At 42.4% G+C, this 16268-nt stretch overlaps 1 protein-coding gene and 1 long non-coding RNA gene across 60 annotated transcripts in view, besides 1 other annotated feature; one reads left to right on the top strand and one right to left on the bottom strand.

Moving 5' to 3' along the window:
- The window catches only part of IKZF1 (IKAROS family zinc finger 1), a 101647-nt gene that overhangs the window by 77862 nt on the left and 7517 nt on the right, over positions 1-16268 (top strand). For 21 of the 59 annotated variants that reach the window (XM_011515058.3, XM_011515071.3, XM_011515061.4 and 18 more), the window contains 3 exons: positions 1224-1391; positions 6029-6154; positions 10413-10547. The exons of 2 other annotated variants lie outside the window; for them this stretch is intronic. In XM_011515058.3, coding sequence (XP_011513360.1) covers positions 1224-1391; positions 6029-6154; positions 10413-10547 — 429 coding nt within the window. The remainder of the gene's footprint in view (positions 1-1223; positions 1392-6028; positions 6155-10412; positions 10548-16268) is intronic. 36 more of the 59 variants (XM_011515059.4, XM_047419739.1, XM_047419723.1 and 33 more) reach the window with 8 other exon arrangements.
- On the bottom strand, positions 4570-12641 carry LOC124901631 (uncharacterized). The gene is made up of 3 exons (XR_007060322.1): positions 12560-12641; positions 7168-7263; positions 4570-4645 (listed from the first exon to the last, which is right to left on the bottom strand). It is a non-coding gene; the product is annotated as an uncharacterized LOC124901631 (long non-coding RNA).
- Positions 12626-12675: an enhancer, noted in NCBI's record as "active region_26004". NCBI's record gives its function as "activates an Ori minimal core promoter by ATAC-STARR-seq in GM12878 lymphoblastoid cells {active_cell/tissue: GM12878}" and the evidence as "EXISTENCE:reporter gene assay evidence [ECO:0000049][PMID:35858748]".

The following is a 16268-nucleotide window of genomic DNA, read 5'->3' on the forward strand; positions in this document are numbered from 1 at the left end:
ACTCCAGGAAATATGTTGTTACAATATCTCAACACCAGGAATTGTGGTCACATAGCATTCTTCTTCTAAATAAAGCATTTGTTTTACAAAAGAGTTTCATGTTTACTTAAACGTGACAAATGTATCACTCTTCGAAGTGAGAGTTAAATGAAATGTTCCCTGATTTAGATTCCAAGACCTGTGACTACTCAGTAGGACAATAGCATATTTCTTTTACTCAGATACCTGTTTATCCCTTTGTCAGCTCCAGAATGGAGACACAGGTGCTGCCACACAGAGGAGAGGGTCAGGTGTTTTCTTAGTCACAAATGCAGCAGTCTCACCCCTGAAAGAATTCCTTCATAACAACTAAATTGCACCTCTTAGAATACCTGTACTTAAAATATAATTTGTCTTCTATGGATATAGACAAATAATAGCTTAAATGTTTTAGGATTTGTAAAGAAAGAAAAAGCTAGAAATCTCAATGCAACTCTGACTTGTATGTCCTGCCATAGGAAGGTTTGGGACTTTTCTTTGGAAGATGGGAGGCTTCCTTCACAGTTTCTTAACTTCTCATTTTATTCAATCTTTCTCCATCTCTCTCTCTCTTTCTCTCATCCTCACGCTCTCTGTCTGTCTCTCTCCTGATTTGTCTGCTTAGGGACAGACAGGTAATGGAGAAGAAATTGAAAGGGAAAATACAGGGAAAATGTAAATGAAAAGAAGTTATTATAACTGTTATAATGAAGTGCCTTTCATTTAAATATAAGAATGTAACGCTGAAATGAACTTGTGATCCTGAAATGCATTTTTAATGAGTTTCCTTTTTATTTTGCTGCTTCAGTGGCATATTTTAAAGACCCTTTGAAAAAAGCCACATTAAAAAACCCCACCAAATGCCACAACACGCAAAATTGGATATTGGTTTATTCCAAAACTGCTGATCAGGAAGAGTGGCTCTTCATCACAAAATGTTGCAGTCACTTTATTTAAATGAGTTTGAATTTGCATTGTGATGTGCCATTCTGATTTAGGGAAAAAAAATTAGATTTTCAGATCAAATTGACCCAGCCAGTGAAGCGTTAAGGAGCTGGCAGGTTTAGTCTGAAAGCCTCATGTTCTATCAAACCTGCAGCCGGTGGAAGTCACCAGGCCCCCGTGGGAAACAACTTTCTCGTAGCATCGTCCTCATGTCCCCACGCTGAGTTTAGTTCTCACCAGCTCTCCTCTCTCCGTCCCAGGAGAACGGCCCTTCCAGTGCAATCAGTGCGGGGCCTCATTCACCCAGAAGGGCAACCTGCTCCGGCACATCAAGCTGCATTCCGGGGAGAAGCCCTTCAAATGCCACCTCTGCAACTACGCCTGCCGCCGGAGGGACGCCCTCACTGGCCACCTGAGGACGCACTCCGGTAGGTCCCCTGGATGCAGTCCGGGGCTGTCTGGGTGTCCCGGGATTCCTCCACTCTGCCCGCCTGGGTCCCGGATTGTGTCCTTGCTGGCTAACCCTGAGTCCCTCCCAGCTCGCAGTCCTGCATCGGGTGTGAGCTGTTGCTTCTTTGACATTGCCCCATCCCCCCTCCCCATATTCTCCTTTTCCCACTGCACCAGGGAGATTGGGCGCAGGACCCCCATGCACATACACACACAGAAGTCTCACCTTAGGTAGCATGTTTCAGAACAGGCCTCCTCATCCCGTTTGTCAGGCTGGTATGGTTTCCCTAAAGGATTTTGCGGGAAATGTTTTCACCAAGTGTACTGCTAAGACCCAAAACGTTTTCAAGTACAATTCTTTCTGTTGTTAAGTCCCGCTTTGGAGTGTTTTACACAGGTGTAATGGATAGCTTTTTTGCAGAGCTGGTAGAGAAGGGTGATTTAGGGCGCACCCACCCAGACTGAGCCCCGTGTGGCTCTCACACCAAAAACCAGCCAAGGCCACAGTTACAGAGGCCAGTCTGGGGCTGTTACCAGATTTTAGACAGCAGCCTTTCTCTTTGAATTAGACAGTTAAAGTACAACCCACATAATCTGGAGTCTTGACAAGATCATCATAGGCATAAACGCTCTATCATTCTCAAAACAGTCTCAGCCTGCAAAGTTCAAATCCACTAAAGTTTGGTTAGATCCTCTGCCTCCTGAGAAATGGTCCTGGGTGTTTCATTATCCAGCAGTCCCATAATTCTACAGGGCAGAGGAAGAGAGGGCTCTTGGCCGGCCTGTCATGGATCATGTTTGCCTACAGTGTGGTCTATACAACATGACATGGCACAGGTCTCCTTCATACCGTCCAGTTGGGGATATTTGCTGTAGCATACTGCATGAGACTTCGGAGGCGAAAGGTTGATGGCTTTTGTCCTTCCCCTCAAGGAGCTTCCTGCCCCAGCCAGCCACCAGCCAGGGCCCTTCTCCAAGCAGCAGCCTCTCTAAGCCGGTGCCCTGGGGGATGGCAATGCCTCAGACCAGCTACTCCTCACCCACCCTGGGTAGCAGGATAAGGAGGAGCCTCCCTCAGGGAGGCAGACGTGTGTTCTTTGTGAAATATCTGCAGCGGCCCAGGCCATCTCTTCCCAAATGTGATGCGTGTATTTGATGGTTGAGGGTTTTAGAGGCTGCTCATTGTGTCCATCTCTTTATCACACATTTACTGAGCACCCCTGGGTGCCCATTCTGCACAGAAGACCTCAGGTGCACACAAGGAAAGCACCAATGTGTTACAGGAGGCATGACAGAGTGTCTGAGGGGACAGTGGGAGCATAAGGAAGGGGACAGTGGGTCCTGGGGTGGAAAGTCAGGAGAGACTTCCCATAGAAGGGAGGGGCTTCTGAAGTACATGCTGGAAGGCGAGTGTCTGAGGTTTGCTTTAGAGACATTCTAAACTAGTGTGTGAGTCGGCAGTAATCCCAGAGAGGGGTGCGGCACCCATGTTGGCAAGAACTCGGTCTCACTCCTGGCAGGTGGTCCCTGCAGTAGTTCACCCAGTTGGCTGGAGACAAAAAGGAGAGGAGTCACAGGGGCTGGTGCATCACCTCCTCTCCATCCTGACCTCCTTCCTGGCGGTGCACATGGAGAAGGATCCCCACATGCTCGCCATCAGAAAATTGTCATGATTTGGGTGATTTGACTTCCTAAAAACTTCCAAGAAAGGAGCTATACCAAGCTGAGGAGTTGCTTGCCCGAGAGGGCGGGCAGATCAGCAGGGGGGCCATGGAGTGGGACACTTGCCTTGTTACAGAGGGACAGGGAGAACAGGTGGTTCCCCTGAGATAGGAAGACAGTAGCATGACGGTGAGCATCTTTAAATGTTCACATGGGTGATGAGCATGTATGGTGGTCCCACCTGGAGACAAAGGTGGTACCTGGGCCTGATAAGCAAGGCCCATGGAGGCCTCAGCTAAGAGAACTGTGCAGTCTGTCTGCCATGCTAACCAGTGGTCTAGGAAGAAGCTTCACATCTGTTGTTTCTAAGGAGCCATGTAGACATAGACACAGTTGGCAGCAATATTGCCTTGGGTTAGTGGGAAGCACCACTTCCCATGTCAGTGGAAAACACAGACACTCGTTCTTAGGTTGACACCAACCATAGGTCATCATCACTCCTAGATTACTCTGATTGCAATGGAATCTCTCATGCCCATCAGTCCTTAAAAGCAGAGCTGCTCTCTTTCCTTTCTTGTTGTGGAGTTAGGAACATGTAGTGGAGTATTTTATGTTATTCTGGCTCCAGGCCTATGTATTTCATTTGAGGCATGATGGTTTCCTATTCTAAGTACCACTAAGTATTGAGTAGTTATAAAATGGTGGTAGACTTTGGACTGTGTATTTCTATTCTGGATCCACGGATGAGCAAGTGGAGAAAACCCATCATGGATGCAGGGCTGCTGGGGATCTGTCTGTCCGAAAATGCTATAGAGACACACACTGCTCTTGGGGAAAAAAACAGTGATGATTTCTTCAAAATGATTTCACTGAAGTGAAATAAGGACTTTGGCCTTGCTCTGGCAAATTCAAATGTGGCCACACTCTACTCCATTGTGGAATGGTGACTCCCCTGTCCCATGAAAAACCAGGATCAACATCACAGCTTTCTCTAGCAACTGGTGGTGGCCTGAGGTCTTATGAACTAGCATGTTAGCAGGGATAGAGTTAGGGAATTTGTCCGATGCTGACAGCAAGAGGGTGCTGGGGGAGCTGGAGGGGTGGAGAAGTGATCTCCCTTCCTGCCTCATGGCTTCCTTTGGAAGTTGCAAGCTTAGAATTTCTTTCCCAAAGAATATTGGACTATGCTTCAAGAGACACTTGAGTTCAGTTGCTTACAGTGAACATACTTCTTATGTTCCAGAGTTAAACTCAATCATATTTTCAGAAAAATAGATATTCAGACATCATGTCATATTTACAGGAAGCTATTTGATCATGGAATTTACTGAAGTGACAGCTTTTTCAGGAAAGGGTATCGAGTGGTTATCTATATCCTATTAATTTCTAAAAGCAATGCTCAATAAAATGTGCAATTTTAGGCAATATTCTGTGTTTCAACATTATTTCCTTATGTTGGGGGTACATCACTTTATATAGATAAAGAAAGATCCTTTTCATTCTCTATTAAATGGTCGAGAAGTCAAATTTTGGCTTTCATGTTGGTCTTCTTACTGTAGCTTCTGTTCACCTAAGAAAGAGATTTAACCAACATAAGCTTTGGCTAAACCATTGTACCAAACATTTCTATTTGGATGCTCTTAACTTTTATACAATACTTTGAAATGTGTTCAATAAAACAACATGAGAAAGAAGTAGAAGATTCTGCTATTAGGTTGGAAATTGATATTCCTTACATAAGTGATTAAAGATACTTTATTCAGTTTATCCCTTAAAATGGTATCTACTGAAGTCCTTAAACTTAGGCATGATATTAATTCCTGGCTAGTCTTTCTTTTTCCTAAAATATCACTCAATAAAATCCAAGAAGGACTAAAACTCATTATATAGAACTGCACTGCCCAATACAGCAGCCACTAGCCACATGCAGTATTTTTAATTATAATAAGTTAAAATTAAACAAAATTAAAACTTCAGCCCTCAGTGGCACTAGCCACACTTTTTGTGTCCAACAGCTACATATGGCTGGTGGCTGCCATATTGGACAGCACTAATAGAGAGCATTTCTATCATCATAGGAAGTTCTGTTGAACAAGGCTGATCTGGAAGCTACACCATCCTAAAGCTCTTTGGCAAGAAAGCAGAGCTTTTCCATAAGCTCAGTTTATGAACAATATATTTTGTATTTTCTATGTATATGTATATGAGAATACGTATACATAGAAATATATGAAAATACATATACATATAAATATACATATACATAAAATAGAAATACATATACATAGAAAATACAAAATATTTTGTATTACATATACATATGCATGGAAATACAAAATATTTTGTATTATATAATGCAAATGTAAGATATATTTATATTATGTAAGAAAATACATTTGTGCAATAAAACGCTTATTTCATTCAAGCATATTTGTCCAGCATGGTTTCTTAGAGACTGAAGTTACCCAGTTTAGCACCTGGAACTGAATTCACTCTGGCTGTGTTAGATGTAGCACCAGCGTCATGACAGATCCAGCCCACAGCATAGACTGAGGCCTACTCTGGAGGCAAATCTGCAGACAATGTGGCCAACACATGGGCCTTCCTCACATCTCTGTCCAGTCGCTGGCATCCACGTTATAACACAGCAGTGGCTCGTTTTCTCCAGTTAAAGGCTAGGCTTCCGTGATTGAAGCAGGAGAGAATTTGGTAGTCAGTAAAGTAGACAAACTAAGACAAAACAAGAGTCGCATGAGTTCTTGGTACAATTAAAGAAACCCTTGGCCACCAACGTTTTTAAATTCAGGAATTTCACCAAGTCCGTAACAGTTTTAGCTCTCAAGGGTAGAATTTTTTTTTTAACTTTTTTGGTAATAATTGTATTGCATGCATTCCCCTTACACAGAAGGCTGGCATTTAATTGGGGTCTTGAACTCAATTGTGTTTTCTGCAGTTGGTAAACCTCACAAATGTGGATATTGTGGCCGAAGCTATAAACAGCGAAGCTCTTTAGAGGAACATAAAGAGCGCTGCCACAACTACTTGGAAAGCATGGGCCTTCCGGGCACACTGTACCCAGGTAAGCGCTGCTGCTCGGAGGCCAGCCTGGTGGGCTCTCCCCCCAGCACGGTGGGGAAGGAGGGCGCTCTGCATGCAGCCTTAGGAGCAGAGCCTTGGGCCTGCTTCCTGCCGGGGCTAGGAGGGAGGGAAGTTTTTGGCCAATAGCATCAGTTTCACCAGAAGCACGTTGTGCTTCCCAGCTTTCTAGGTCCTCATCTGACCAGAGAGAGCTTGATTTTAAAACCCTTCCCACTTCCAATCGGGAGAAACTCCTAGGATAGCAGTGACCTTGAAAGTTTTGGGGTTGTTTTTTGGATGTTGGTGATTTTAAAACAACAACAAAAAAAACACCTCAAGTAGTGATATTTCTTTGTAAACAAAATAAAATGTAAAATATTGTTTTGAAACAATTTTTTAACAAAGTTGATCAAATAAGAACTTTCAGGCTGTGATTTTAAGCATCAGTTCAGACTGAGGGCAGGGTATCCACTCCTGCATGGAGTGTGAGGTTGAAGTTTGTTGGAAGCCCCTGGTAGTTGATAATATTGAGGTTGTTGAAGGATGAGAGGAAAGGTCGCTTCTTTCTTAGGAGCTGTGATGCTCCACTGTATTGCATAACGAGATAGCACTTGATTCAGACCCCAGAGCCTGTAGAATAAATGATGTGGAGAGAGTATTGAAAAAGGCTGGATTTATCTGGGGGAATGGCAATGTTATAAAAGGTTCTTCCCTAATTTTTTAAGAGATAAGCAATTTATAAAGAGATCAAATAAAACTAATCTCTTTCAAAACAGTATTCATTTAGCACTACCCCTGGAAAAATCATCACTAGACTGTGAGTCGAAATTTAACGAATGGAGGAAAATTTATTAAGCCTCATTCACCTTTCGGACTTTAACAAATGGTTCAAAAGGGAAAATTCACCAGAGTACCCTCAGATTATTAATGGCAGATGAGAGCAGGAAAAAAGAATGTTGAGAATGGCTAAAAATTGATTCCAATTAGTCTTGGCATGGAGAGGCAACATCTCACCTGGCCAGAGCCCTGCAGCCAGAGTGCTGTCTCCTCTGCCAGTCAGCCAGGGATCTGGGGCTTACAGGCGATTCCTCCAGGCCTCAATCTTCTCACCTGTGAAATGGGAAGATACCATTAAATTGTCATTTGGCTTCTTTCAAAATCTCAGGTCTAGAATGGAAAGGCATTGAAGGTGAGTGGAAGAGAAGAAACTGGATGTTAAAATAATAATAATGTAACAGTTATTAATTCACATGGCCAGACCCCAGGGCAGAAGACTAATGGACGAGAGGATGATTATGTTCCTTTGAAATAAAATGTCAACATTCAAATATTGTTTTTTTCTGTAAAAAATAAGTGAATGGGTCTTGGAAGGAAGTGCTCCTAATGATGTAGTTTACATATTAATGCTTAATAAACCATTTTATTTACTCAACAAATATTCACTGAGGACTTATAATCAATAATACCAAGCCCTATTGAATACAGTAATCTAATATACACATAGAATTGAAAAGACAAAATGAACAAAAGAAACAGACAGTATATCATTTCTGTTTCCTCCACTGTTTTCATTACTAAAGAAACAAGCTGCAGTACACAGCCGGCTGAGAGCTGCTTCCGGGGGAGCAGGAGAAGCAGCACTCATTTCACTGAGACCTGGGTTTGAGTTCTCTGTTTTTGAATGTGACCCAGAGCTCATCGCTTAAATGCGACTGATAATTCGTGCCTGGCCACCCTCATAGCAGCGCTCTGAAAGAAACATAAAGGAGTGGATACACGTGTGAGCAGGAGCCTAGACATGTGTCAGGTACTTACCTAAACATGGATGTTTAGGTCACTGACATACTGACACCATCAAGCTAATTCTTCTCTATTGGTCTCTATGTCAGTAAGGCTACGTGCCAGTAATGTGTATTAAATATTACCCTGTGGTGAGTATCAATTTCACCCTAAAATGTTCATTTATTCCCTTTGGTGGTTAAGTTACTTGGACTACCACAGTGATGCCTCTATGTCCCCACACTCAGGAGGTATGAAAGCGTCTCTAGGAAGGAGCAGTGGTCTGGTCTCAGTGTGGCAGCAGACAAAGCCAGGCTCGCACTTAATTACATTGAATTATTTCTGTCTGGTATGGCCTCAAAAGGTGCAAAATGATCATAAATATCTTTCGACAGTCACCTTTGGTTTTTGCCCTTGCCAGCACCTGGCCCTTGTAGGTGCTGCTGGTTTAAGGAACTTGGAGTATTAAGGGGATCCATAAAAGGACTTTGACAGAAGTCTTCCTGAACTGTGCTTAGGGCCAGGAAGGCAGGCAGGGGCTTGGTCATTTCAGCTGTGCTGTACCCGGATGAGTGGAAACTGTGCCTTCTGATGCATCTCTCCTCCTCTGTTCCCCTCTAAGAACCCCTTGTCTGTGCTCAGATGGATGAGCAAGTAGTCTCTTCTCCCACCCCAAAAACCTCCTTAGATGGGGTGGATTCAGTAAAATCAAAGCCTCAGTTAGGCAATATAGGAAAAGATGAATTTTTGTGAATATAATTTTCTTTAGTAAAAGGCTTTTGGTCACCTCTTATAATTTCTCAATGTCTTTATGGAAAAAATAAGTTTCTCTTGAGCCTTTGGTGCACAAACAGAGTCACCAGCCCTTGGAGGTGCATGCATCTAATGACAGAGCAGCCTGTGACTCGCGAGCATCAGGCTCACTTGTTCCTTGCTGTGATTGACTCTGGGGGGTGGAGGCTTTTGGGAGGCCCTGCGCCATGGTGCAGAGGAAGACCCCTGACCTCTGGGAGCCCTGGGCAGGCTGTGGGTGTGGCTTGGCAGAGAAGGATGGACATGTCAGGAAGCATATTAGCTTAATAGATGAAGTGTGTGACCAGTGTAATTGGGTTTTATGGATTTATATTTATCTTGCATATAAATCAGGGTGTGGCCTATATATGTTTGCCCATTTAATAAAAAACACATATTCCAAATGTTAAAATATAAAATATACCAGCAACAATAGCCAATTTGAAATATATGTTTTCAAAGTAACATTCATAATAGCAATGAAGACATAAATACTTAGAAATGAAGAAAACCAGCAAGCCATAGTGAGGCAAGAAAGAAAACATGGGAGATTGGAGAGGTAGAGAGGTCTGGATGCCGTCCATGGGCCTCTGCCCAAATTAGTGTATCATTTCAACATAAAACTGGCTTGTAAATTTTACTGGAATCTGGTAACCATGTATCATAAAGTATCTGGATATATACATGAGATAATTGGCAACTTTTTAGAAGAAGAATAATGTCAAGTGATGTATGAAAATGTAGCTGAAATGGATGGAACTCTTTGAAGAATAGACAAACAAATCAATAATAGAGATGGATACCCTACTGAAGACCCCATGATAAATCAGCATGAAATATCCGAGGCAGGAGGAAGCATAAGGCAGGAACGGTATTGGAAGAATTGATCAGGCATTTAAGATAATCAGTTTACATTATCATCTCCTTATACACTAGGATAAATTGCCGGGAAATGAAAGAGTTATATTTTTATAACTCCAACCACAATAACTGATGTAAATATAGATCCAGCTATGCAGGATACAAAGTTGTATCTTCAATTATGGAAAGAGATGACATAGAACAATTGAGAATGACTAGAAATGGCCCACACATCAGCATTTACCTCCATAATTTCTAAATTTTCTACAGCAGTCAGGGGTGCTTTGATTTTCAGGAGTTTGTTGTATGCTCAGGGATAAGGGGCTCTGGGTTTTTCCTCCACATTGCCCAGATCTGCTGTAGGCTCTTGGGGGCCACATTTTTGTATCTCCGTTCACTGTGCTGGTCCATGAAGTCAGATGTTAGATCACACAGTTCTTTGCGTCTCAGAGGGCTGCTGTTAGGGACTGACTGAGGTAGCAGATTTGGGAGTATTATGAAAAGTTAAAAGGACTTGTCAAAGGGACATCAATACTTAATCCCAGTCCAGCCTCTGGTGATGGTGGTGGTGCCTGTGCATTTGGACTTAAAGAGGATGATGTGTGGTGAGCAGCTGTTGGAGGAAGAAGCATTTGCAGGTGGCTGGTCATTGGCATTGCTCCGGCTGCCTCTGCCTGTCTGGAAGTGTTGCTGGGAAGATTAGAATTAATCTCTAGGAAGGGCCTGGCTCTTGTAGGCACTTAACAAATGTCAGATTTAACATTGGACGCGACTGAACCCTTTAAACATAAGCCTTTCTAAACTGGCCTCTCTGTCTTTGACTTTAGTCATTAAAGAAGAAACTAATCACAGTGAAATGGCAGAAGACCTGTGCAAGATAGGATCAGAGAGATCTCTCGTGCTGGACAGACTAGCAAGTAACGTCGCCAAACGTAAGAGCTCTATGCCTCAGAAATTTCTTGGTAAGAGTTAAATGTTTGCTGTCTCTTAAAAAAAAACTATGTGGGTGTTTTAGATGCAAGTAGAAATGAGTTGAGGGTGGAAGAAAGGGAAAAAAATCTTATTTTTTCAAAAGGAAAAATTGGTAAGCTTAACATTCCTTAAATATCTTAGAATTTTTTCCAATAAGTATCTTAAAAATAACAAACCTCCCATCAGTTTTTCCTAGATTTGATTTTGCAGCATCTGGGGCCTGCCCTGTGATCTGCCTGTGGACATCGCTCTTAGGGGCGGCTGCACCAGCGTGCACAGGGTGGAGAGTTTGGGCCTGGCTCGTCCGGGGGACACCACACTGCAGGACACTCCAGGCCTGGCCGGCTTCTCAGAGCTTCAGATCCTCATTTTTCATATGAAGCTCCTAATGCTCCCCTTATGGGGGACTCTGAAGGGTTAATGGGAGGAATCATACAGTGACTGACCCCTGAGAAGTGTCCAGTGAAGACAGGGCTTAGCTAGGATTGCTGTTTTGCCTAATGCTCTGCGGGATTAAAAAAAAAGAAGAAGAAGAACAAGACCATTCGTCTCTCTAGGAGCATTGCCCAGAGTAGGTATTAGACACACCAACACCACCATCCAGCCAGACGCTGCAGGGACAGTGAGCCAGGGTCCGAGTGGAAAGGCGCTAGGCTTGGGAACCAGCTCAGAGTCAATACAGAGCCACCGCCACTCACCAACTCTGTCAGCTTAGTAAAATGGCTCTGCCCCTAGAGCCCTGGTTCCATCCTTTAGTATCTCACAGGGTGATTGTGAATATCCCATGACTCCAAGATTGAGAAAACGTTTAGAATCCCTCGGTGTGAAGGTTAACTCTGTCCGGAAAGAGGACCAGTAAAAGCTTCATGAGGCTGAGATGCACTTTGGAAGAGGAATAGAGTTTCAGCACATTCTAGGTGTTGGAGGAATGGGGGAATCTAGGCAGATGTTTAAAATCAATGAGAAACCAGAATGCTGACCATGAGGGTTGGAGTGGGGGCCTAAGGACATGACGGAGGAGCAGGGTGTGTTCCCAGCTTAACTCAGGTACCCATGGGGAAGCAGGAAAAGTGAAGGTGTCCTAGGCAGCTCTGCCACAGGATGAATGGCTTCAGATGCCAGGTGAGCGAGGGACCCTTCATTCAGTCAGCAGGAAAGAAGCACTGGCATATTTTTTATGAGAACAAAGGCTAGGATAGTAAAGACAGCAAGTACCAAAAAATGACTGGAAAAGGGAGACTGTGGAGGCAGTGGCAGCAGGCATGGAAAGAAGGGCTTGTGAAGGGGAAGGGGTGGTGTCAGAGGAACATAGGGCTGGGGGCAGGGATTAGGTGAGGGAAACCATGAGTCACACTGATTCTAGAGTAGTGTGCCCTTGATGAAAAGGATAACACCAGGTTCTAGGAAAAGATGGGGTTCTGTTTTTGACGTGTTGATTTTCAAGGACTTCTGGTGTTTGTGACACATGGGGAAATTGTGGTGGGAGAGAGGTGGGGCCAGAACAGGGGCTGGTGAGGCCAAGGGTCCCAGAGGGCACCTGTTGACCTGCAGGATGACATGAAGGGGGAAGGACAGAGGCAAGGCCAAGTCCTGGGCACCAGCCTCCCTCTTGCAGCTTCAAATAGGGCTCCATTTTGACCTTTTGATTAATTAGAGGTTTGTCATAGGTTGGGGGTTGAGAGGAGCAAGGGAGAGAAGGATTCAGTGTACAAAAAGAATGAAAGCCACTGGCTGAGCCAGTGGGGAGTTGTCCACACACACATGAGCCTTTGGACCATGAGAACGAGGGAGGCCTTGCCTTCCTGAACGGAGTAGGAGTGAGGTCCTGTGCTGAGCGTAAGCAGTGGGATTCCCACAGCACTGGGCACAGAGCCCACGGGCTGCCTCCTGAGCAGCCAGCATCTGCCTGGGGTGGACACAGTGACAGAGAGATGGGTGGTGACTGGGGTATGGGCAGAGATAAGGCAGCAAGTGTGTGCAAGGGGAGTGAAGGGTTACTGACCTTAAGAAGCAGGGATGGCGTCCTCTGTCAGGTGAGGAGCCTGGAGAATGCTTTGGTGAATGAACGTTTGCAGCCCCTTTTAGCTTTTGGAGACTTGAAACCAAAGGAGAGATTCATCTGTGAAACTCTACTGGAGCCACTCCCCAACCCCCACCCTTGTGAGACCACAATGTGGGCGTTGGCTTGAGATGCTTCTGTGTTAGTAGAAGAAATAAACAACACAGTGCTCTGATGAGGCAAAGCGAAGATGAAAAAGGAGTTCCCAGGGGACATAGTAGGAACAGTGGACGAGGGTAGCAGAAGAGGAGTTTGGAGCAAAAGACTCACAAGCAGCTGCATAATCTGTTGGTGCTTGGCAGTTCATTTGTAAAAATGATGCCTCTTCCTGCCCTAAAATACCTACCTTACCCCCGCTTCAACTTGATGAGATTTCCATCAGTCACTCCCAATGTGTCACAGCTTCTGCAGCCCTAAAATTAAAAGGTGAGTGAGTCTCTGAGGCCCCTCTCCACTTCTCGGATGCTGAGTTTAGCCTTCATGTGAATGTGGAAAGACTAGGAATACAGCTGTTATCACACAAGCTGGCCCAATAGTGGTTCAGTTGAGAGAGCCCCATCCTTCAGAGTCAGCTCCAGCTAGGAGTGACTGGTGGCCTTGAGCATGGTGCTGGGCTTAGTGTTGCCATCTGTGGAATGGGTGTGGGTCTGTTGCCCTGCCTCCTCCCAGAGCTATTCTGAGGCTCAGAAGGGGTGATGGATGTGATGGTGCTCCCAACACTAGAAAGCATCTTAAGAATGTAAGATTTTCATGATGACTGTTGCTCAGAGTGGCTATTATAGTTTTGCTTTATTGTTCTATAACCTATGATTAAAATTTTTACCTTAAACTTTGACGTGAGTGTGAATAAGTATTTGTTTTGCCAGCAACATTCCTCACCACTGGGGCCATTAAAGATCTCCCCCTCTGAGACCATCAAATACAGGTCAACAGGACTGATTAATCTAATTAGAAAAGGGCTTGTATTAAATAGCAATGATAATTGTTGTTTTTAGTCTGTCTGGTGTTTGACTTGGGAACGTTTTTAAAATAGAGAAAAGCACAAAGAGGAAAACAACAATTACCAATATTCCTGCTACCCATTATAATTATCTAGGTATATTTTCTTCTTTTGTAAGAAAAAGAAACCCTGTTATATTGTTAAAATAACACAAAGTTAATATAAAGAATTTTAATGCAAAGATTAATGTTTTCAAATCACCACAAAACCCAACATCCAGAAATTACCAATATTAAAAGTAGAAAAGTATCATTCTAAATATTTTCTGTTGCATATGTATGTGAGTGGATAGGCTGATGAATTAGGTGGATTGATGGATAGGTAAATATGAAATAAATACTTTCATAAATATTCCAACTTATCATACATGCCTTAAATTCAAGAGGTGAAAAAAGACCCAAACAAAACTAGAGAAGCGGCTTATTTTAAATATCCTCTGACATAAAGGAATATTATATTTAAAGGATCCTCTAAGATTAAAAATATGTACTATGAAAAACATTAAGAAATTTGAATTTTTTTTAATCCATTTGTTTCAATTTAAGCAGCATCTACTGGCTCACTGCTTTGAAAAATAAGGACAGTATTCCAGTTCACATTCAGTGTTCCAGTGTTCACATTATCTTATTATTTTTACATTGTCCAGCTTTGTAATATTCACATTCTATTCTGTAATCATAATTCATAGTAGTTTAGTTATTTATTACTAACTCTATTTAAATAGATTCAAGGATCAGACCCTGCCCTTTTCTTCTTATTTATGTTTATTTTGATTAATCTCTTAATTGATTGGACTTTACATTCAAGCAACTTTTTTAAAAAAAAGTTTCTATAGATGTTCTATTTCTATCATTGTATTGTTTTTGAGGATGTTGGCCTGTTGCCTTTGTATTTGATGAGCATTTTGACAGAGTCTATGGTCTTGGGCCACTCTTTCTTTTTCTCCCTTGAGAACTTTTTAGATTTTGCTGATGGCATTGCTTGTTGAATGTTGCTGTGGAAACATCAAGTCTAGTGTAACTGTTTCTTCTTCAAGGTGATTTGCATTTTATTCCTGAATGCCTGAGGGTTCTTTATTTAACCTTGAAGTTAAATACCCTAATTAGGATGTATCTTGGTCTATTCATTCGGAATAAAAAATTCCTGCCATTTTGTCTAGAGAGTCCCTTTTTTTTCTCTTTATTTCTGGGAAATTCTCTTTTATATAAATATGTTTTGTTCCATCTATTGTGATCTCTGTTGAGGGATACCAGTTGTCCATATGTTAGATAATTTGTCTTCCATATCTGTTAACAGTTCTTAAAGTTTTTTGTTTATTTCTTTGTCTATTTTTACATTTACTCACTGTTCTCTTGTGGTTTTCCTCTGTCAGTAATTTAATTTTTAGTAGTTCCTGTTCTATTACTTGCTATTTTTAATCCATGCATTAATTTTATAATAATATTATTTTGCTCCTTATTTTGTCTCCTGAGACCCGAAATCTCTTTTTTCCTCTTACTCTGTTGCTTTTGCATTTTATTTTGAATACTTTTAAAATTGATTCCATGTTATGAAGCAATTATGAGGCATTTCCTCTCTTGTTGGAATTAACGATTTTTTCCCCTAGGAGGGACTCTATGGTCTGTGTTTTACTTCCTTTCTTCCCCTGTATTTCTAGAAAATATTTTCCTAGTAACCCTGACATTTCTTTTCATCTTGCTTATTCTAGTTGGTCTGATATAGCTTGATTGACATTTCAGCCTTCTTCCCACTATATTTTTTTTTCCTGTGAGAGCTATTGGGTTTTCTAAATCCTGAAAGAATGCCAAAGATGGGGTTGGAGGAGTTTGGTGAGGCAAAGTGCAGCCTTTGTTAAAATACTTTTCCTTTGCTCTCTCTCCCTCATCTGAAATTTAGTTAAATACCCTAAGCCATCAGCACTGTACCTAGTTGGGGAATGCTTTCATCCCCACAGGAGATTCTCTGGGGCTTTGGGCCATCTTCCCCTTCAGTGTAGACCACAGAGGACTTTGCTTCTGTCCCAGGGAGCCCGCAGGGGCTCACTTCTCCATGTTCATCTGATTCTTGTCAGCCAAGGTTTCAAATGCTTTTCTGATCAGAACAGGGAAAAGATACCTATCTGAATCATGTCTTTATAGATATGAGGCTATGAGGGAAAATTCTGAGGTTATTCTTGACTCACACCTAAAGATTTGGAAATGAGATTAGCAGCAAAGCTTTGCCCTACATCTCATGTCAGAATTTTCTGTTTCTTTCTAGTCTTTGAGTGTATGTGTGTTCTCACACACGCCATAATGAAATGCATATTATATATAATTATGTGTATATATAATATTCTATGACTATACATGACATGTTCCTTTAGCTGATTGCTGTTAAGAGAAATTTATAGGTTTTTATTTTTCTTGTTTTGTTGGGTATTAAGGAAGAGAAATTCTATGGTAATTTTCATGTGGCACAGTAATCTGGCATATATGTTGATTTTTTTCCTACACCCATTTGTTGTGATACCAAGTTTGAAAACAACAGATTTCAGTGGTTGCTTGGGAAACCACAGAACCATGACTTGGGGAGAGACAGGATGATTAGGTGGGAAAGCACCCTTTTGGTGGGGCTGTAAAGACTTTTATATTTAGCAAAATTGGCTACAAA

Source organism: Homo sapiens, chromosome 7, assembly GCF_000001405.40.
Source record: "Homo sapiens chromosome 7, GRCh38.p14 Primary Assembly".
In the NCBI taxonomy this organism is placed as follows: domain Eukaryota; kingdom Metazoa; phylum Chordata; class Mammalia; order Primates; family Hominidae; genus Homo; species Homo sapiens.